The 21,654-nt window shown below is 43.9% G+C and overlaps 2 protein-coding genes across 2 annotated transcripts in view, besides 2 other annotated features; one reads left to right on the top strand and one right to left on the bottom strand.

Annotated features, from left to right (window-relative positions):
• Nucleotides 1-6,977, bottom strand: part of SYCP2L (synaptonemal complex protein 2 like) — an 87,258-nt gene extending 80,281 nt beyond the window's left edge. Inside the window, exons 1-3 of the mRNA NM_001040274.3 lie at nucleotides 6,894-6,977; nucleotides 2,448-2,516; nucleotides 25-162 (exon numbers count right to left, since the gene is read on the bottom strand). Coding sequence (NP_001035364.2) covers nucleotides 25-162; nucleotides 2,448-2,516; nucleotides 6,894-6,902 — 216 coding nt within the window. The 5' untranslated portion in view covers nucleotides 6,903-6,977. The remainder of the gene's footprint in view (nucleotides 1-24; nucleotides 163-2,447; nucleotides 2,517-6,893) is intronic.
• Nucleotides 7,042-7,810: an enhancer, noted in NCBI's record as "H3K27ac hESC enhancer chr6:10886452-10887220 (GRCh37/hg19 assembly coordinates)". NCBI's record gives its function as "activates a minimal SCP1, AML or CMV promoter by ChIP-STARR-seq in primed H9 embryonic stem cells {active_cell/tissue: H9 hESC(primed)}" and the evidence as "EXISTENCE:reporter gene assay evidence [ECO:0000049][PMID:30033119]".
• Nucleotides 11,799-12,093: a silencer, noted in NCBI's record as "tiled region #8043; K562 Repressive non-DNase unmatched - State 23:Low". NCBI's record gives its function as "represses a minimal TATA promoter and a strong SV40 promoter by Sharpr-MPRA in K562 cells {active_cell/tissue: K562}" and the evidence as "EXISTENCE:reporter gene assay evidence [ECO:0000049][PMID:27701403]".
• GCM2 (glial cells missing transcription factor 2) lies at nucleotides 11,988-20,806 on the top strand. Its single transcript, NM_004752.4, has 5 exons — nucleotides 11,988-12,325; nucleotides 16,637-16,889; nucleotides 17,472-17,584; nucleotides 18,013-18,138; nucleotides 19,096-20,806. The coding sequence occupies exons 1-5, from the start codon at nucleotides 12,236-12,238 to the stop codon at nucleotides 20,032-20,034; spliced, it is 1,521 nt and encodes a 506-aa protein (NP_004743.1). The 5' UTR covers nucleotides 11,988-12,235; the 3' UTR covers nucleotides 20,035-20,806.

Raw genomic sequence — 21,654 nt, 5'->3', positions numbered from 1 at the left:
TGGTCACAAAGCAAACCAACTTGCCTTATTTATTGATCTGTCAAGACGGTATAATAGAAGACGATTATATTTTTGAGGAAAGTGGCTCTCTTTCTGTTGAAAGTATTCTTTTATTTTCTGAAATCCTTTATCATGGAATGCATCCGTAATAAGTGATTGAAGCTGGAAAGATGATAGTTTGCAAATTACTTTTTCCCCAAGAACATTTATTTTATAGTAATTTTCTAACTGATCTCATTATCAATAAGAATTCAGTGTGAAATAATATAGGGTAAATATAGAATGGAGATCTCTATCTTGAATAGTAAACAATCATTTCACAAATGATTGATGTTTCCGTTGGTTTAAGACAAGAGTTCCCAAAATGTGGTTCCTAGACCACCAACAGCGCTGGCATCACCTGGGGACTTCTTAGCACTCACACTCAGGGCAGAGCCTTTCACGTGATTCTCGTGCATGCTGAAGTCTGGGAACCACTGACCCAAGGAAAACAACACTTCAGTTTCAGATATCATTAGGTGAAGATCCTCAGCAATGTTGGGAATTCTAAAACACTAAAAATTTCAAGCCTATGATCACTCACTAAGTGACATAAATGATCATAATAGAAGGAAGAAAAATAATACTAATAATTATAGATAATAAGTATGCAAATTGACCATAATGAATGAAATTCATCTTTTCTGCCTGCACATTAGCTAAGACATGCTTCTAAGTACATATACTTGAAGGGCCGGGTGCAGTGGCGCACGCCTGTAATCCCAGCACTTTGGGAGGCCAAGGCAGGCGAATCACCTGAGGTCAGGAGTTCGAGACCAGCCTGACCAACATGGAGCAATCCCATCTCTACCAACAATACAAAATTAGCCAGACGTGGTGGCGCATGCCTGTAATACTTGGAAGGCTGAGGCAGGAGAATCGCTTGAACCTAGGACGGAGGTTGCGGTGAGTCGAGATCGCACCACTGCACTCCAGCCTGTGCAACAAGAGCAAAACTCTGTCTCAAAAAAAAAAAAAAGTATATATACTTGAATAACAGACATTTCCTTAAACATTTAAACTATAAAAGATTTTTTATCTTTAAAAAAATCTTACAGGTTAAATATACAATACTATTTTAATAAGGAAGCAATTTACTATATACAGCCCACAATTCCACTTATTCTTAGTACTGAATTAAAAGGGAAAACAGCATTTAAAATTATTCCATTTAAACAGAATGTTTTCTTTTTTAAGTTAACACATAGTGAGCTTTTTTGTGCCAAGTGTGTTAAGTGTTCTGCAGATGTTATTATTTAATCCTTACCACGGTCCTGAGAGGTTAGGTTCTTTATCTCAGGATACAAGTAGCAAGGATAGGAAAGGTTACAAACTTATGTGAGATTGCTCAGCTGAAATTCACTCCCTTTTACCTGCTTAAAACTCTGCCATTACCAGGCGCAGGGCTCACGCCTGTAATCCCAGCACTTTAGGAGGCCAAGGCAAGAGGATCGCTTAAGCCCAGAAGTTTGACATCAGCCTGGGCAATATATTGAGACCCAGTCTCTACAAAAAATGAAAAACTAGCCAGGTGTGGTGGTTCATGGCTGTAGTCACAGCTACTCAGAAGGCTGAGGCAGGAGGATCACTTGAGCCCAGGAGGTCAAGGCTGCAGTAAGCCATGATTGTACCACTGCACTCCAGCTGGGGTAACAGAGTGAGATCCCGTTAAAACAAAACAAAACTTTGCCATGGCTTCCTCTGCATTAAAAATAAACCCAAAATCCTTTGCTTTAGTCCGCAGAACGTGGCATGATCTGATCTCTGACAGTCTGACCTCCTTGCTAATGAGTCCTAGGATAAGTCAAGCTCTTCCTTGCCTCGGGGCCTTTGAACTGGCTGTTCTAGGCCTGGGCTACTTCACCCCACCACTTTCCACATGGCTGGTTCCACTCAGATCACAGCTTAAGCATCACTTTTTCAGGTAGATCTTCCAGGACCACCTTATCTTACGTAGACCAGGTGCCTCCTCAACATTCCCAATTATTCCCCATCTCATTACCCTGTTCTTTTTCTTCCTGCTTCTTTGGCTCTCTGCCAGTCTATAAGCTCCATAAAGGCAGACGTTGTTTCTAGTTTGTTCAGTATCATCTATCTGCATTTAGGGCACAAGATATCTGCACAGGGCACAAGATAGTTTAGACTAGGATATTGGTAAGATAGCTAATGGTAAATTGACTAGATATAGTAATAAATTGGACATGAGAGATTAGGGAAGGAGAAGTAAAGATTTCTCTGCTTCTGATTTGAGCAACTGGAGGAACAAGTTTGCTAATGACCCAGGGAACACAGAACTAGAAAGAATACATACACTCATATACACATACACACACACACACACACACACACACACACACACACACACACACACACACAGAGAGAGATTATAAAAGAAACTTGATCTTTACCCAGAAAGCATCATCCTGGGCCTTCCCAGTCCTGTCTTCCTTAATAGGCTGCAAAGCATCTTTGTTTTTCTGTGTGGAATAAAAACATGTTTTTAAACAATTTTTATTTCAAAGAAATGCATTTCAAGTTTTAAACACAAAGCAAAAAAAAAAAAAAAAAAAATTAAAGGTTTGTATTGTTTTCCTGAACAGAAATTTTTGTTTGCTCATATTATAGGTCTAAGTAAAATAGTACTTAGAAAAAAGAGAAAAACTTTATCCAACCTTCTTTAGCATGGTCTAAGACAAATACAGTACAAACTATCAGAAGAAGCAAAGCAAACATCATTTGAATAAATAATCACACAAAATAAACAAACTCTATAATGATGATTATAAAGTAGAAGTAAAAAGGCTTTGAACTAATAAACCATTTTCAGAATGAGAGCTTGTAAAATAAAGTTAAATAAAAGTGTCTTTAAGGCATCATAGTACCTGACTTCAAAATATACTACAAAGTTATAGGAACAAAACAGCATGGTACTGGCATAAAAACAGACACATATGTAGACCAATGGAACAGAATAGATAAACCCAAAATAAATCTACTTTTTTATAGCCAACTGATTTTTGACAAAGGTGTCAAGAACATTCATGGGGAAAAGACAGTCTCTTCAATAACTGGTGCTGGGAAAACTGGATATTTATATGTGGAAGAATGAAACCAGATCCCATGTCTCACCATATACAAAAATCAACTCAAAATAAACTAAAAGCTTACACTTAAGATCCCAAACTACTAGAATAAAATATAGGGGAAACACTTTAGGACATTGGTCTGGGCAAAGATTTTATGGAGAAAACCTCAAAATCACAGGCAATGAAAGCAAAAATAGACAAATGAAATTATACAGACCAAAAAGCTTCTTACAGAAAGGGAAATAATAGAGTGAAGAGACAACCAGCAGAATGGGAGAATATATTTGCAAACTATGCATCCAACAAGCCATTAATATCTAGAATATACAGGGAACTCAAACACCTCAACAGCAAAATAACCAATCCAATTAAAAATGGGTAAATAAGCTAAATAGACATCTCTCCAAAGAAGACATACAAATGACCAACAGGTATATGAAAAAATACTCAACATCACTAATCATTGGAAAATGCAAATCAAAACCAAAATGAGATATTATCTTACCCCAGTTAGAATGGCCATTATCAAGACAAAAAACAACAAATGCTGGCAAGGATATGGAAAAAGAGGAACTCTTGTACACTGTTGGTAGGAATGTAAATTAGTATAGACAATATGGAAAACAGTATGGAGGTTCCTCAAAAAACTATCATAAATCCAGCAATTCCACTCCTGGAGATATATCCAAAAGAAAAGAAATCAGTATGTCAAAGGCATATCTGCACTCCCATGTTTACTGCAGCGCTATTCATAATAGCCAAGATATGGAATCAACTTAAGTGTCCATCAGTGGATGAATGGATAAAGAAAATGTGGTATATTCACACAGTGGAATACTTTTCAGCCAGAAAAAAGAACAAAATCCTGTCATTCATGGTAACATGCATGAGCCTGAAGGACATTATGCTAAATGAAATAAGCGGGGCACAGACAGACACACTGCATGTTCTTGATCACATGTAGAGGCTAAAAAAGCTGATCTCGGCCGGGTGCGGTGGCTCATGCCTGTAATCCCAGCACTTTGGGTGGCCGAGGTGGGTGGATCACCTGAGGTCAGGAGTTGGAGACCAGCCTGGCCAACATGACAAAACCCTGTCTCTACTAAAAATAGAAAATTATCCGGGCAGGGTGGCGCATGCCTGTAATCCCAGCTACGGGGGAGGCTGAAGCAAGAGAATCGCTTGAACCCGGGACGCGGAGGTTGCAATGAGCTAAGGTTGCACTATTGCACTCCAGCTGGGGAAGCAAGAGTGAAACTCCATCTCAAAAAAAAAAAAAAAAAAAAAGGCTGATCTCATAGAAGTAGAGAGAATAGTGGTCACTAGAAAAGAGGAAGTGAGATAGGCAGAGGTTAGTTAATGAACACAAAATTACAGCTAGCTGGAAGGAGTAAGTTCTAGAGTAAGATAGTACTGCAAGGTGACTATAATGTACAACTTATTGTATATTTTCAAATAGCTATACGAGTAGATTTTGAACATTCCCAACACAAAGAAATAAATATTTGAGGTGATGGATATGCATAATTACCCTGATTTGATCATTACACACTGTATACACATATGGAAATATCACACTACACCCAATTAACATGTGCAATTACTATGTGTCAATTAATATATGTGTCAATTAAAAATAAATGATAAAGGCAAAGAAAAAGAACCATTGTGTTAGTGGATAATTGAGTAGAGGCAAAAGTGAGATAGGAGGAACAGCTAAAGCTACAATTAAAATTGGGTGTTAGGCCAGGCGCAGTGGCTCACGCCTGTAATCCCAGCACTTTGGGAGGCCAAGGCGGGCATATCATGAGGTCAGGAGTTCGAGACCAGCCTGTCCAATATGGTGAAACCCGTCTCTACTAAAAAATACAAAAATTAGCTGGGCGCAGTGGCACGTGACTGTAGACCCAGCTACTCGTGAGGCTGAGGAAGGAGAATCACTCGAACCCAGGAGGTGGAGGTTGCAGTGAGCCGAGATCCAGCCACTGCGCTCCAGCCTGGGTGACAGAGTGAGACTCCGTATCAAAAAAAAAAGGGTGTTAATTCATAGCATAAACTGACATCAAATAAACACTATGCTACGTATCTATAATTTCTAAGTTTTGTCAACAAATTCTGAATTAGTGGGAAATACTTCCCATCCCAAAGAAAATATTCCCGGGAGCCTTTATGTTAAGCTTCTTTACCTCTTTTCTCTATAGACACGGCCCTATCTCTCCTTCAGTTCAATTCGTATGCAGAGATGCTCTGCTTATTTTTATTTCTACCTCCTTTCAACCTTCTCTGGCCTTGGTGGTCAGTACTTTGCAAATTCCAAAGAAATGCTTCCTGTTTCTGGAATTTCTGGAGCCACTCTAGTACACAGAAAGGTATCCCCCTTCTGTGAAGATCATGTGGCAGCTTTTGTGGGTAGGAACCTGACAGGAAAATCAGAAAGTGGGATGGTTTAGGCAGAAAAGATCGTTAGATTCTCTGAGATTCAGTCTCCTCATTTAAAAAACATGATGATAGCCGGGCGCTGTGGCTCACGCCTGTAATCCCAGCACTTTGGGAGGCCGAAGCGGGCAGATCATGAGGTCAAGAGACAGAGACCATCCTGGCCAACATGGTGAAACCCCGTCTCTACTAGAAATACAAAAATTACCCTGGCGTGGTGGCGCGCGCCTGTAGTCTCAGCTACTCGGGAGGCTGAGGTAGGAGAATCGCTTGAACCCGGGAGGCAGAGGTTGCAGTGAGCCAAGATCACGCCACTGCACTCCAGCCTGGGCGACAGAATGAGACTCCGTCTCAAAAAAAAAAAAAAAAAAAAAAAAAAAAAAAAAAAAAAAAAAAAAAAAGATGGTAACACCTATATGGAAGGATTGGAGTGAGGACTGACTGACAGAATGTCTGTAATGTTCTTAGCATAGTGCCTGGGCACATAAAAATGGCTCAGTGAATGGCAGCTTTCAATGTAACAGGGATGGAGAGGGTGAGGAGGTTATGCTTAAGTGCTCTGAATTTAAGCGTAGCTTGATGTTAGAAAGGTTTCTGTCCCAAATCTGTTTCCCCATGGCTGGGAAGATGGCGCCAGATGACAGATGGATTTTATGGAGAACAAGAGTGAGTTCCTGGATCTAGGCAAGCAGTTACCCCTGGCTATCAGAATCACCTGGCGTCCTCACTAACAAACTAACAAACTACCGGCCCACCGTAGACCAATTACATCAGAATTTCTACCACCAGGAACCCAGGCAGAAGAATGTTAGAAACACGCCCCAGGTGGTTTTTGTTTGTTGTTTTTGGCGTCCCTGGGTGGGCTCAAACTTCATGTGTTTTTTTTTATTATTTATTGATAAGTAATAATTGTAGCTTTATCTTAGGGGCTGTCCTTTGTCGTTCGGTTAAATGAAGTCCCAGCACTTGGGGTTGCTTAACACTTCTGCACTTTCTACGCAGCAAGGTGGAAAGAGGGCTGGAAAACCGGCTAGGAAAATACGCAAAGCAACTAGAAAAGAACTATCTCATTGCTTTCCGAACACGAATTCTCCGGTTCCCCTTTCCCTGAGCGCTATTTAGCTAGGGATCCGAGGTTTCTATTCTGCCTGGTCTCCCCGCAGGCTGCCAATACACTCCGAGCAAACCCAAGGAGGTGGCGGGGGACTATGCCCAGCACCCGGTCTCTGAGCGAACACCTCAAGGCGGCAGAACCTGAGCCCCAGGGACCCCGCGCCCTCGCGCGCCCTAGCACTGTGGACAGAAGGTCCGGGCCCTTCGGGGGTCACTCACCGCTTGCATAACGAGGCTTCTTCGTTCCTGAAGCGACGCGCCGCTCAGCTTTGTTGCGCTCGGTCGGCCCTCTCCTGCTTCCCCGCCCAAGAGCCCCGCCCGCTGGGGGCGCTGCCGAAAGAGCCCTGGTGGCGGACCGCTCTTCGAGTCGAGTCTTCTTCCGCAACTGTAATTGACGAATCCGCCCCCTGAAGTTTACTAGAGCTCTGTGTTTTGAGACTCAAGAAGCGCGTGCAAGTAACTAGCGCACACAGGCCAAACCACCTGGGCGCACGCACTCACCCTTTAAGAGAAAGCCAGCACTCAAAGGATGTGAACTACGTCATTTAAACGTTCCTTATTTGCGAAATTCCAAACAGATAGGCGTTCGCTTTGTGGTAGCTGTTCCAAGTTTTTGCCCCGCCTTAAAAAGCCAGAGGGGCGGCCAGGCGCGGTGGCTCACGCCTGTAATCCCAGCACTTTGGGTGGCCGAGGCTGGTGGATCACTTGAGGTCAGGAGTTCAAGACCAGTCTGGTCAACATGGTGAAACCTTGTCTCTACTAAAAATACAAAAAATTAGCCGGGCGCGGTGCACGTGCCTGTAATCCTAGCTGTTGGGGAGGCTGAGGCAGGAGAATCACTTGAACCCGGGAGGCGGAGGTTGCAGTGAGCGGAGATCTCGCCACTGCACTCCAGCCTGGGGGACAGAGTGAGACTCCGTCTCAAAAAAAAAACAGCCAGAGGAGCAGTTTTTGGTCCATTGATGTGTGCAGACAGAAGCCGAACCCTTTCCTATGGTAACCAGACTTGTACCCGATATTATTAATACATTCCTGATTTCACACACACACAAAGTGTGTTTGGTGGTTGTTTTTTAAGTACCGTGGTGGGGAGGAAGGGGAATTTTTTTTTTTAATCAAAGCAAATAGTTTTGTTTTTGTTTTTGTTTTTTTGTTTCTTTGTTTGCCTATTTCCTTTAACCTGACAAGTATGCGTACCAATGGCTAGGCTGATTCGGATAGGTGGCCAGTTGTGTGAACACGGTGGCAAAATTAAATTGGACTAGAGTTTTCCACAAAAAACAAAAAAAAGACCCCTCCAATCCAAACATCCTTTGTGTAAAAATCAACTTGTATTATAACTAGACCTGTGAGTATTTCAAGTCATAATATGTACGGAAGATATTTGTCTACACCAAAGCAAAACATAACAAAACCAGAACCCCTGTTAGCCCAGGACTTGCACACATTTCTAGTCCGTTCAAAACAATGTTTATGTCAAAGCCTGTCATATCAATTTCCTGGAAAGTATAATGTAAACATTCTTACATTAATTTACCTATTTTAATCTAAACCAAGGAAATTCAAACGCAAGTTTTTTTCCTTTTCAATGAATGGACTTTTGTAATATTAAACTAGTAATCAAGACAGGAACAGCTGTGAGTATAAGCTATTGTGAGTCAATACAAATATAATACCAGGGCAAGAAAGAAACAATGAATAATAAGAAGCAATAAACAAAATACTACAGTTTAAATGAATTTTAAGAGAATATTTAAAAATTAGAGTTTTCATAATATTAGATAGAAAACTTAATCATCTATTATTTTCAGGCTTTGGGGGAAAACATGTCCTTCCAAAGTCTATGGTGCAATGCATTCAAATCTTTAAGAGAAATTAAAAATAACAGAATAGGCAAAATACCTTTTATCTGGTTTTTTTTTTACTTTGATTAGCTTCTTTTACTAACATGTTTTGTCTTAATATAATTTATGGCAACTTGAAATGCATACTCTAATTCTTCTCAAACTAAATATAGTAGAGGCTCTATGACATTTCTTTGGATACCAGAATCCCTTTAGAAATTAATTGATTTGCCTTTTACATAAAAAAGTTTTATTTATTTATGTTTTTGACGGGTCAGGTCTCTCTAGGAACATTCCAAAAGCACAGAGACAAGAACTATTCTAGCACTGCAATAAGACCAAAAATTAATTTCTATGCATTTTCAGAGGTAACTTTAAATCACCATTTTAAAGTTATTTTTAGAACATTTGAAAGGATAAGTTATCTTAGACTACAACATTTAATGAAATACTATAATTAAAATGGATAATCAATAAATTTTCATTCAATTTTGGAAGACAAAACAACACGAAAAGCAACTGAATCAACAGGAGTTTCGGGGACCTTTGGCAGACAGTTAATAAGATGAAAAATCTGTGAATGAAACTCGTGGGTGAAGAGTAGACAGATCTCTTCGTTCCCAGCTAGACCTCAGTGGCGACCATTTGAGAGTGATTTTAATCAGAAACCTTGACTGACAGGACCTTTTAGGAGGGGAGAACTTCGGGAGAAAGGAGGCTGGGAATGAACAAATCACTTTCTTCTGCTAGGACCCTTCGGCTTTGACTGGGAGGAGGACCCCAGCTAGAAGATAAAGGAGGAAAAAATCGCGAGGAACTGCTCGAAGTTGGCCTTTCTTCCCAACAGAGTTCGCTGGTCCGCTGCCACTGGCAGGCTTCTCTGACCGACTGGGATACTTTTTCTTTCTTCTTTCCTTTTCTTTTTTTTTTCTTTTTCTTTTCTTTCTCCTTCCTTGCTTCCTTCCTCTCTCTCTCTCTCTTTCTTTCTGTCTTTCTTTCCTTCCTTTTTTTTTTTTTTTTTTTTGAGACAGGGTCTCGTTCTGTCGCCCAGGCTCGGCGCTATCTCAGGTTACTGCAACCACTGCCTCCTGGATTCAAGCGATCCTCCCGCCTCAGCCTCCCAAGTAGCTGGGACTACAGGCACACGCCACCATGCCCGGCTTTTTTTTTTTTTTTTTTTTTCGAAGAGACAGGGTTTCGCCATGTTGCCCAGTCTGGTCTTGCACTCCTGGGCTCAAGCGATCCTCCCGTCTCGGCCTCCCAAAGTGCTGGGATTACAGGCATGAGCCACTGCGCCCAATCGCGGGATGGACTTTTCTAAGCAAGCCTCACTGTGCCTTTGGCGCGGGAAGTAAAAGGACAGGGAGCGTGGACCACCCTTAGCTTCCTGATGTGGTTTCGCTCTTCCTTTATCCGCCTTTTGCCAACCGAAGGCACTAATCCTGCAAGAGGCGTTGGCATGGGCGCCCTCCTGGCCGAGTCCCGGGCAGCACCCGTCCGTGCGCTCAGCACGGGCTTTGCGGTGCCAAGGCCTAGGGTGCGTCGCTTCCCGGGTCTGGAGGGTCATGGATTCGGTTCATCCTCCTCTATCAAGGGATCTGCCGTGAGGAGTTGGCTCCTCTTCTCTGGCTGGGGCTGGGAATGGAAGCGTGCAGCTGCAAAACAAGGACGCGGGCAATAAATTCCAGAAGCCCTTTCCCCTGGCCGCCAAGAATCCGGCCTTGGGGTAGTCAAAGAGTGACTTTAGTCACTTCAATCGGTTTTGTTTTGTTTTGTTTGTTTTTTGTTTTTTGTTTTTTTTATATATATATATACTGAGGGTCTCCATGTGCCGGAGTAGCCCTGGGCGAGTCGGCTGCTCAGATGATGAAGGTTTCGTCCCAGCCCCGGAGAACCCACATTGTCCTGCGCACCTCCGCACCACCGCGATTCTCTAGTCCTCCAAAGCCTCCCAAGACTGTAATGGAGTAAATTCAATTTCGTCGTGATATTTCCAAGACTATATCAGTGAAGTTTTTTTTTAAGAGTTGTGGGCCGGGCGCGGTGGCTCACGCCTTTAATCCCAGCACTTTGAGAGGCCGAGACAGGAGGATCACGAAGTCAAAAAATCGAGACCATCCTGGCCAACTTGGTAAAACCCTGTCTCTACTAACAATACAAAATTAGCTGGTCGCGATGGCGCGCCTGTAGTTCCAGCTACTCGGGAGGCTGAGGCAGGAGAATCGTTTGAACCTGGGAGGCGGAGGTTGCAGTGAGCCGAGATTGCGCCACTGCACTCCAGCCGGGAAGACAGAGTGAGACTCCGTCTCAAAAAAAAAAAAAAAAAAAAAGATTTGTGTTCGGGTGGGTGGCAACTGAGAGCTCGCCGAACCACAACCTCTTATTTAACAGATAAACAGATAAGGAAGCTGAGACCCAGAGGGAGCCAAAGCAGTGGAGAAAGCGAGTTCTTTGGGACTTTTCCCCTCTCCCCTTTCCCTCCTTCCCCAGGCTCCCACCTACCCCAGGCTCCCACCTACCCCGGGCTCATTTCCGCCCCCCACCTCCTCCAGGTTCACTTTGTAGGACTCCGTTCCTGCAGGGCCAGGTCCCTCCGAAGTCCCCGGGAGCGTGAAGGCGCCTGGGCTCGCGAGCATACGCGGAGGCTTGGCGCACCCTGGCACGTCCCAAACAGCAGAGCCAAGACTGCGAGACACTCACAATAGTTAGGGGAAGAGCCGGCAGTGGAGGCCCAAAATGGGCTGACCCCTAACTAGGAGGCGTGGGCGCGGTTATTCAGGCTAGGGCGCACGCGGACGGCAGAGGGGCCCACGCACGGTTCCCATGCTCTCCTGGAATTGAGTGTTGGCTCTCAGGGGACTTTGCTGGAAAGCCTCCATCTAAGCCCCTTTCCGAAATCAGGGAAGCTGGACGCGTTTAGAAAAAAGAAAAAAAATAGGCCGGTCGCGGTTGCTCACGCCTGTAATCCCAGCACTTTGGGAGGCCCAGGCGGGCAGATCGTCAGGAGTTCAAGACCAGCTTGGTCAGGGTTTCGCATGGCTAAAACCTGTCTCTACTAAAAATACAAAAATTAGCCAGGGTGGTGGCACGGACCTGTATTCCCAGCTACTCGGGAGGTTGAGGCAGGAGAATCGCTTGAACCTGGGAGGCAGAGGTTGCAGTTAGCTGAGATGGCGCCACTGCACTCTAGCCTGGGCAACAGAGTGAGACAAAAAAGAAGAAAAGAAAAGAAGAAAATAATAAGGTTTTAAACTTAAAGGATACATTCCTACTTACCCTCTCCACCCCCACCCTCTGGCTGCAGTTTCCATTTGCTTCCAGGGCTGAGTTTAACCTCCACCTCCGTTCCTGGGACTGTGGTGGAGGGGGCGACCGGCCCCTGGAGCGTGGGCGCTAGCGAGGTAGGCGAGACAGGGCGGAGCCCCCCGGAGGTATATCTTTATAAAGGAGGGGGCAGCTGCCAGAGGTCGATGCTGCCGTTCGGGTGGAGAACGTTCAGCACCGCGGCCAAGGACAAGGCCCCGCCCGGGTCCATAACCATTGTCCCCAGCTTCCAGATATCTAAACAGCCTCTCTCTCTTTCTCTCTCTCTGCACCTCCCCTTCACACACCCCACTTTCTTCTTTAAAGAGAAGAAAAAAAACCCACCTGGCGCACCTGTCCTTTTTTCTTCTATTTTTCAGAACCCTGGGCGGAAAGCGCGAGCGAGTTGGGCAGATGCCGGCGGCCGCGGTGCAGGAAGCGGTCGGCGTGTGCTCCTACGGGATGCAGCTCAGCTGGGACATCAACGATCCGCAGATGCCTCAGGTAAGTGAACCGGGTGTGTGCGGGCACGCGGGGCGCTGTCCATCCGAAGGAGGGAGAATGGCATTCGAGTTCTTGAAGAGTCTGCGGACGGACCATACACACACACACACACACACACACACACACACACACACACACACACACACACATACCCGCAAAATTTCTGGGTTTCTGAGGCCCTCTCAAGTGTAGAAAGAAAACTGGACTCTACAAAAGGCTGAGTTGGGTTTAGAAATGTGTCTTCTTGGCCGGGCGCTGTGGTTCATACCTGTAATCCCAGCACTTTGGGAGGCTGAGGCGGGTGGATCATCTGAGGTCGGGAGTTCAAGACCAGCCTGACCAACATGGAGAAACCCCGTCTCTACCAAAAATACAAAATCAGCCCAGCGTGGTGGCGCATGCCTAAAGTCGCAGCTACTCGGGAGGCTGAGGCAGGAGAATCGCTTGAACCCGAGAGGCAGAGGTTGCGGTGAGCCAAGATCACGCCATTGAACTCCAGCCTGGGCAACAAGAGCAAAACTCCATCTCAAAAAAAGAAGAAGAAGAAGAAGAAGAAATGTGTCTTCTCCCAGCAATTTCCTTGTGCTTGCCTGAAATCACAAGCAAAGCAGCAGGAAATGTTGGTCAGGCTCCACATTCCCAGTCTTGGGGAGAGCGGGACGCCTGTCCTTTCACTTCCCTTTAACCAAGGTAGAAATTAGGTGCCTCTCTCCTTATTCATTTACTTTAAATCCATGAGGAAGCTAAGGAGAAAATCTAAGCAGATGTAAATACCACTGCTTCTCATGCAGCAAAACTGAGGTACAACTGTAAAGTGAATCTAATGACCTAAATTTAAAACAAGTAGCCCGACTTGAGCAATTTGCTCAGACCTCCCTAACTGCTCAGAGGAAGGAGGCCCCATAGTCATGCCAACAAGGCCACCTGTACCCAAAACTTACTTCTTCTCTAATGACAAGCAAATCATCATTCTTTTAGGGTGAATTTGTTGTATTTTGCTTTATTTCAATAAAGCAAAAATGGTTTGGAGCCAAGTCCAAAGAATGACTGGGGTGGATGAAGTGGTGAATGAAGTGGGTGGTTTGAAGCCAGTTCCAGAGAATGACCAATTATCATTAGTCACACTGGTTAGGGCCAAAATTGAGTGATGTTGAAGTCCTGGCTGTAGGGGGTGGGGGGTGTAGAATGAGAGTTGCTTCCCTGCCATTTGCAGATGTGGGCTTCCAGCAATGTTGTGGCACAGGGATAAAAGAGATGGGTCATTTTGTCCGCAACTAAAATGTGTCTGATAGGTGTTCAGATGAATAACAATTCATTGCAACATTGTGTCGCCTCTCATAGAGGTCAGCACTTTTTTGGATCCATATATTTGTAGTAGGTTAGGTGTGTTTTACTCCTTTGTTTTTGTTTGTTTGTTGGGGTTTTTTGTTGTTGTTTGTTTGTTTTTTGAGGCGGGGTTTAGCTCTTGTTGCCTAGGCTGGGGTGCAATCACACGATCTCAGCTCACTGCAACCTCCATCCCCCAGGCTCCAGCGATTCTCTTGCCTCAGCTTCCCGAGTAGCTGGGACTACAAGCATGCGCCACCACGCCCAGCTAATTTTGTATTTTTAGTAGAGATTGGGTTTCTCCATGTTGGTCAGGCTGGTCTCGAACTCCTGACCTCAGCTGATCCACCCGCCTTAGCCTCGCAAAGTGCTGGGATTACAGGCGTGAGCCACCGTGCCTGGCCCACTCCTTTGTTTTAAAGTCTGCCTACTTTAGAGTCACATGGTACCATTTTCATGAAAGTGGACCACAGTACAGCAAGTGCATCTCATTCTGTTTCTGTCCATGTACATCTTCACAGGAAACAATCATATCTTGCATTTTAGAAAAGTCACATCCAAGTAATGTAATTATGGTTCATCTCTCAAGCATTTGCTAGACTTCCCATGTCAATATGAACTTTTTTTTAGGAGACTGGTTGTTAAGCAGGAAGCATGTGTGTAATATCTCAAACGGGCCAGGCACACTGGGACATGGAGAAGTGAAGAAACTTAGCATCGCCCTGCTCTGGGTAACCGAGTGAGCAAGTTAAACTACCTGTCTGACCTTGAGAGAGTCCTTGAATTTGCCTTAGTCTCAGGCTACTTACTCACTTGTCATCAAGTGGTAGAGTGAGATAACCATCTCAAACTCTCCTCCAGGTCTACGATCAGGTTCAGTGTCTATGTGTGTGTATGTACACACACACACAACATGCCAACACTTGAGAGCAAGTGAAACCCAATCCTTGACATCCTCTATTCTTGTACTGATTTTAAAAATACAATCTCTGTGGCTTCATTGCCAGGGTCACTACCTCAGTAGCTCGTGTGAGGCATGGGGGCCTAGTCTACATCCTTAAGGGAGAGCTAAAGAAATGCTGTTTTCTGGAAAATTGTCAATTTGTTACTAAGATCCTTAAGTTAAAATATTCACTTTTAAAACAAAGATATTAGCATTTAATATAAGCTTGGAGTTGATAGCACATCATTATATATTTCATTTGTGACTTACCTTACATTGATGTATCATGTCAATTGTAATATTTCAGAGAAAAGATAAATAATACCTATGGTAGTAATAATGATTTCAACAATATCTTTGTAATTTTGGAAACAAAATCACCCATTAACCTTATTACTGTTAGAATGTGCAGTATTAATGATGTATACAAGTCTGAATTTTCCAACTGTGAATACTTCAGCTTTGCAAATGTTTGATCTAATTTTCCTGAGTGGCAAGAGTGGGGAGGAGATGCAAATGGCTTACTGCTATTATACACTCTTCTGAGCCTTTATTACACCAGCAAAGCTACTGGGTCTGGCTGCTACCCATCTTCTGTTTATATTCCAGCTATGCCACTGTGAAAGGTTATCTATTGAACCTCCACTTCCTTATTTAGTAAACAAGAGTAAAGATGTCCATCTTGCAAAGATGTTGTGAGAATTATATATATTGCATAATATGGCTTTGCAGGTCATACTGTTTCTGTTCCAAATATTCAATTCTGCACTGTAGTGTGAAAGCAGCCCTAAACATTACATAAAAGAAAGTGCTCAGTGGCCGGGCATGGTGGCTTATGCCTGTAATCCCAGCACTTTGGGAGGCCAAGGTGGGTGGATCATGAGGTCAGGAAGATCAAGACCATCCTGGCCAACATGGTGAAACCCCATCTCTACTAAAAATACAAACAATAGCCAGGCGTGGTGGCATGCACCTATAGTCCCAGGTAGTCAGGAGGCTGAGGCAGGAGAATCACTTGAACCTGGGAGGCGGAGGTTGCAGTGAGCTGAGATCATGCTACTACACTCCAGCCTGGGTGACAGAGTGAGATTCCATCTCAAAAAAAAGAAAAAAGGAAGTGCTCAGTAAAGGGTGATTTTTCAATGAAACTTATATGCAAAAGTGACATTTATTGCAGTGTAAATAATGCATTAAATTGACAAAGACTACCAAATATGAATACTAAGGCAATGCTCAGTATTTTAGATACAACTTATTATTGCAGCCATGTGGCTCTTTGTTGAGGAGAATGACAGTCCCATATTGCTCTGGGGAGCAGTCCCGTGCCAGACAAGCTCACCCACACCCCAAAGCTCATGGCTTAAGTCCCTCATTGCAGTACCCTTTTAAACTTGGAGAGCCAAGTTGAGAGTAGGGAGGGAAGCTGTTCTTTCCTCTCTGACATTACTCTGGGTGCCACTGCTAATGTGACTGACAGGTTTGGCATACAGAGCCAAGTGCTTTTGAAGAAAATGCACTGACTTAAAGATATTTACCAGTTAAATTGCATTTCAGTGATAGAACATTCCAATCACTTTTTCCCCTGGTACTTTGATACCTAACTTAAAAATGTTTTCAACATTTAAACACACCAAGAAGTGATATAACATAGTGGTAAGAAGTACAGGCTCTGGAATGGGACTGCCAGGGTGCAAATCCTGGATCCAGATCTTGCTAGCTGTGTGATGTGACCTTGGGCGAGTCGATTAACCTCTCTGGCCTCCATGTCCTCATCGGCAAATTGGAAATAATTGTTTGCCTATAATTTGAAGTCTAGATGAACTAATACATGTATAGCATTTAACAGATAAGCACTATATAAACATTAATTATTACCTGGTTGTCAGGAAGTCTTACATAGAAAGAGTGGCATTTTGGAATTTGACGTTACTGGATTTAAAAAGAACTGGTTTGTATCCTAATGTGCTCAGAGAAATTTTAGAGCATGATGTGTGCAGTTTGGACTGGATAGACTGACCACCCTTCCTTCTGCACTCTTCCAGGAGCTGGCCCTCTTTGACCAATTCCGAGAGTGGCCTGACGGCTATGTGCGCTTCATCTACAGCAGCGATGAGAAGAAGGCACAGCGTCACCTGAGCGGCTGGGCCATGCGCAACACCAACAACCACAATGGCCACATCCTCAAGAAGTCGTGCCTGGGTGTGGTGGTGTGTACACAGGCCTGCACCCTGCCCGACGGTTCCCGCCTGCAGCTGAGGCCGGCCATCTGCGACAAGGCACGGCTGAAACAGCAGAGTGAGGACATGGGGCCAGGGAGAGGGTGACCTTGGAGTCATGAGTTTTTTGTTGTTGTTGTTTTTGTTTGTTTGTTTGAGATGGAGCCTCACTCTGTCACTCAGGCTGGACTGCAATGGTGCAATCTCAGCTCACTGCAACCTCCGCCTCCCGGGTTCAAGCGATCCTCCTGCCTCAGCCTCCCAAGTAGCTGGGATTACAGGCATGCGCCACCACGCCCGGCTAATTTTGCATTTTTAGTAGAGACAGGGTTTCTCCATGTTGGTCAGGCTGGTCTTGAACTCCCGACATCAGGTGATCTGCCTGTCTCGGCCTCCCAAAGTGCTGGGATTAGAGGCGTGAGCCACCACACCCGGCTAATTTTGTATTTTTAGTAGAGACAAGGTTTCTCCATGTTGGTCAGGCTGGTCTTGAACTCCTGACCTCAAGTGATCCACCCGCCTCGGCCTCCCAAAGTGCTGGGATTACAGGCGTGAGCCACCGCGCCCGAGCATGAGTTCTTTGTTCCCAGCTAATTTTCCCCTTCTTCCTTCAGAAGGGTCTGGGGTCAGGGTTAATATTTCTCCCTTCTGGGCTTTGCAGAGAAGGCATGCCCTAACTGTCATTCTGCTTTGGAGTTGATTCCTTGTCGAGGGCACAGCGGATACCCCGTAACCAACTTTTGGCGGCTTGATGGCAACGCGATCTTTTTTCAGGTAGGTCAGGTGAGAACACAATTTGTGATGGATACTTTTCATCAGACCACAAAGGCCAAACCACCTGTCGTGTGCCTTGGGAACCCTGGGCCAAACAAAATACAGCCCCAGTGGCCAGAAATAGGTGCTGGAGCTCCCCAGGGACCTAGCGGGAGCCTAGAAATTCACTCACTACTTTGTGCTCTTTAAGGTACACAGATGGTAAACCAAGTTATAGTTCTTTTAATAGAGTGAAGGGATTGCAGGTGATCTTTTCAGATGTCAATTCTTGAGCCTGTTTTATTTGTTCAAGAATTTTTTTTTCTGTCATTTTGAAAGAAACAAAACTAAACTCTTGAGATGTTGGGAAAGGCATGATCAATTTTTGGGCAACATTGTCAGCTTCCTTTAGAGGCACAAATGTATGATTCATTTTCTCGTTATCGCAGGCCAAGGGAGTTCATGATCATCCAAGACCAGAGAGCAAATCAGAGACAGAAGCTAGAAGAAGCGCCATCAAGAGACAAATGGCCTCTTTCTACCAACCCCAGAAAAAGAGAATTCGAGAATCCGAGGTAACAGGGAGCTGATAGTGCACAGTGGTCTCAGCTCATTTTCATCCCAAGATACGCTGATCGTTATGCAAAATATGAAGGTCATACGTTAATTACAAGGGTTTGATTTCATCTGAAAATTATACGTCTGTAACAAAATATCATTAAATCAACATTTGGACAGGGTTTCTAATCCCTTCTCCTTAAAACAAAAAGCAACAATCTCTACAGGCAATGATACAGTCCTGATATGTCAGTGTGCTGAGCTGACATCCTAATATAAGGGCGATTATGCAACAGTAATAAAGATAGAAATATGTGCCTACCAACAGGAAGTTAACAGTGCACCCTTGAGAGGGTCCTTTCCATTATTTCATCCACAAGAATGGATAAAATTTCTCTGCGCAATTTAATTCAGTTTGGCTTTTCAACCAAAGCACGCCAAGCAGGCAGAGTGTTAGTGTAAGGATAACAGAAGCTGACATTTTCCAGCACTTCCTATGTGCCAGGCACTGGTCTAAGAGTTTCACACATTTAATGGTTGCAGAAACCTTATAATGAGGTTACTGTTATTAAGTTCCATTTTTAAGATGAAGGATCTGAGGCTCAGAGAGGTTAAGTGGCTTGTACAATTTGTGAGGGACAGAGTCAGGAATTGAACCCAGGCCCGTGTGGCTCCTAAGTCTCCACTATTAGGAAGACAGTATAGGTGAGAACAGGACCATCTGCCACTCAGAAGCATCCTACCTGGCTACCATGGACCTTTGTCATTCAGTCGTTGGTATTTATGTCTGAGTGAGCCCAAGCTTAGCAACCCCTGGACCACGTGCTTACATCACGTACCTGAGCAGTGCCATGTTCACAACACAGAGCCCAGCACATGGATGTCTGTTTTTACTTACTTCTAGGCTATTGTTACAGGTGAGGGTGTCCACACGATTTACATAGCGTGTGTCTATGTTTGTATCATTTTTCTAGGCAGAAGAAAATCAAGACAGCAGTGGTCATTTCAGCAACATACCTCCCTTGGAAAATCCAGAAGACTTTGATATAGTTACTGAAACCAGCTTCCCTATTCCAGGGCAGCCTTGCCCTTCCTTCCCAAAGTCTGATGTTTACAAAGCTACCTGTGACCTAGCCACCTTTCAAGGAGACAAAATGCCACCCTTCCAGAAATACTCAAGCCCAAGAATCTATTTGCCTAGGCCACCTTGCAGCTATGAATTGGCAAACCCTGGTTATACAAATTCAAGCCCATATCCCACCCTTTATAAGGATTCCACCAGTATCCCTAATGACACAGACTGGGTTCATCTGAACACACTACAATGTAATGTCAATTCATACAGCAGCTATGAGAGAAGCTTTGATTTCACCAACAAACAGCATGGCTGGAAACCAGCTCTTGGAAAACCCAGCCTTGTGGAAAGGACTAACCATGGGCAGTTTCAGGCCATGGCCACTCGCCCTTATTATAACCCAGAGCTTCCCTGCAGGTACCTCACGACTCCACCACCAGGTGCCCCTGCCCTACAAACCGTGATCACCACCACCACTAAAGTGTCCTACCAGGCCTACCAGCCCCCTGCTATGAAATACAGTGACAGTGTGCGAGAGGTGAAGAGCCTTTCGAGCTGTAACTATGCTCCTGAAGATACTGGGATGTCTGTCTATCCAGAACCCTGGGGTCCTCCGGTGACAGTCACCAGGGCAGCCTCTCCTTCAGGGCCACCTCCTATGAAAATTGCAGGAGATTGCCGGGCCATCAGACCCACTGTGGCTATTCCCCACGAGCCAGTTTCCTCTAGGACAGATGAAGCAGAGACTTGGGATGTGTGTCTGTCTGGGCTGGGCTCCGCAGTCAGTTACTCAGACAGAGTGGGTCCCTTCTTTACCTACAACAATGAGGATTTTTGAAAGACAATCCAGGGGACATAATAGCAGTGTGCATGCAGGCAGGAGGCAGGGAAATGTGAAATGGCAATGATCTCTTATTGAGTTGGGAGATTCACCTTGTGTGCAAAGAAACACAGATAGTAGTAAAAATTCTGAGTAACTGAGAAAATAATCAGTTGGAAATGATTAGATAATATGGGAAATTTCACACAGCATTTTGAAACTGGCTACAATACATAGAAGTAGTGAGGAAAGTGTGAGTCTCTCAAATGAACAAATAAGCAAACTGTAGGAGGTTAAATACTGACCTAAGTTCACTTAGCTTATTAGCAGGAGTAGAAGTCAAGGATTCTGGTTCTTATTCTAGGACTTTTCCCATTAGAGCACCTTAGGGAATTTCACATCCCTAGAGGCTGCCAAAATAGCTTCAGGAAGAAATTTTTACAATCTTATCACCTGAGTCATTTCATGAAATTTTTGTTTAGCATTTAGAACCTGTTAAACTAGCTTCAGGAAGTAATTTTGATTGTTTTATCTCCAACGTGTGTATCTACAGCTTTTCAAAAAATCTCTAGCAATGGTAAAGTTCAGTTGTTTTTAAAAGATTCAATATTAGCTTTTCATAACATGATAGTTTCCTAACCTTTTCATAACCTTTTCATAACATGATAGTTTCCATAACAGAGACAGCCTAACAATGATGAGTTGTATTTAATGGATTACCATTGTACTAAATACATTTTTTTTCTGATTAGGTTTCAGAATTATAATTAAAATGTTTTGCTGAAATACAGCTTTACGGTTCCTCTGTTATTCTTCATAAAGGTAATTGATAATGTTCAATTAAATGTAATAAGGACATTTTAAATGAAGCTAATTCTTGCCTGACTTCAAAACAGAAATAGGAAAAAAATTGTTCATATTATGACCTGGGAAACAGTTGTTATGAAACATTAAAACTTATTAAATTGGCTGAGAGAGGTGGCTCACGCCTGTAATCCCAACACTTTGGGAGACCAAGGCAGGAGGATTGCTTGAGCCCAGGAGTTTGAGACCAGCCTGGGCAACAGGGAGAGCCCTCATCTCTGGGCAACAGAGAGAGACCCCAGGGCATGGCAGTGGGCCTGTGGTTCTAACTACTTGGGAAGCTGAGGTGGGAGGATCATTTGAACCCACGAGGTCAAGGCTGCAGTCAGCCATCTTTGTGCTACTGCACTCCAGCTTGGGCAACAGAGCAAGACCCTGTCTCAAAAAAATAAATAAATAAATAAATAAATAAAACAAGTATTAAATAGTTTGACTGTTTTGTAGTTTATTTGCAAAATACCTGCTGTTGTACTCTGTCATAACAGAAAGCCTTTTCAAAACATTTGGAGTGTTCACACACACACTTTAGTGAAAATATTCTGTTTTCAAATAAAGATAAACTACAGGAGCAATATATTTTGGGGGGGGGTGCCTAGAAGTATCATCCTCAAATTTGCATAGAATAATCAATTTGTATAACTAAATTGTAGTCAGTCAGATGCCATTTTAAATCATTGAGCATTCTGTATCATCCAACTAATTCATAAAAGCCTAATACTCCAACATCATAAATGCATGCAGTACTTAACAAAAGATTGAGTAGGTATGAGTACA

Source organism: Homo sapiens, chromosome 6 (assembly GCF_000001405.40).
Source record: "Homo sapiens chromosome 6, GRCh38.p14 Primary Assembly".
NCBI classification, from domain to species: Eukaryota; Metazoa; Chordata; class Mammalia; order Primates; family Hominidae; genus Homo; species Homo sapiens.
This window is presented reverse-complemented; position numbering and strand designations above follow the sequence as displayed.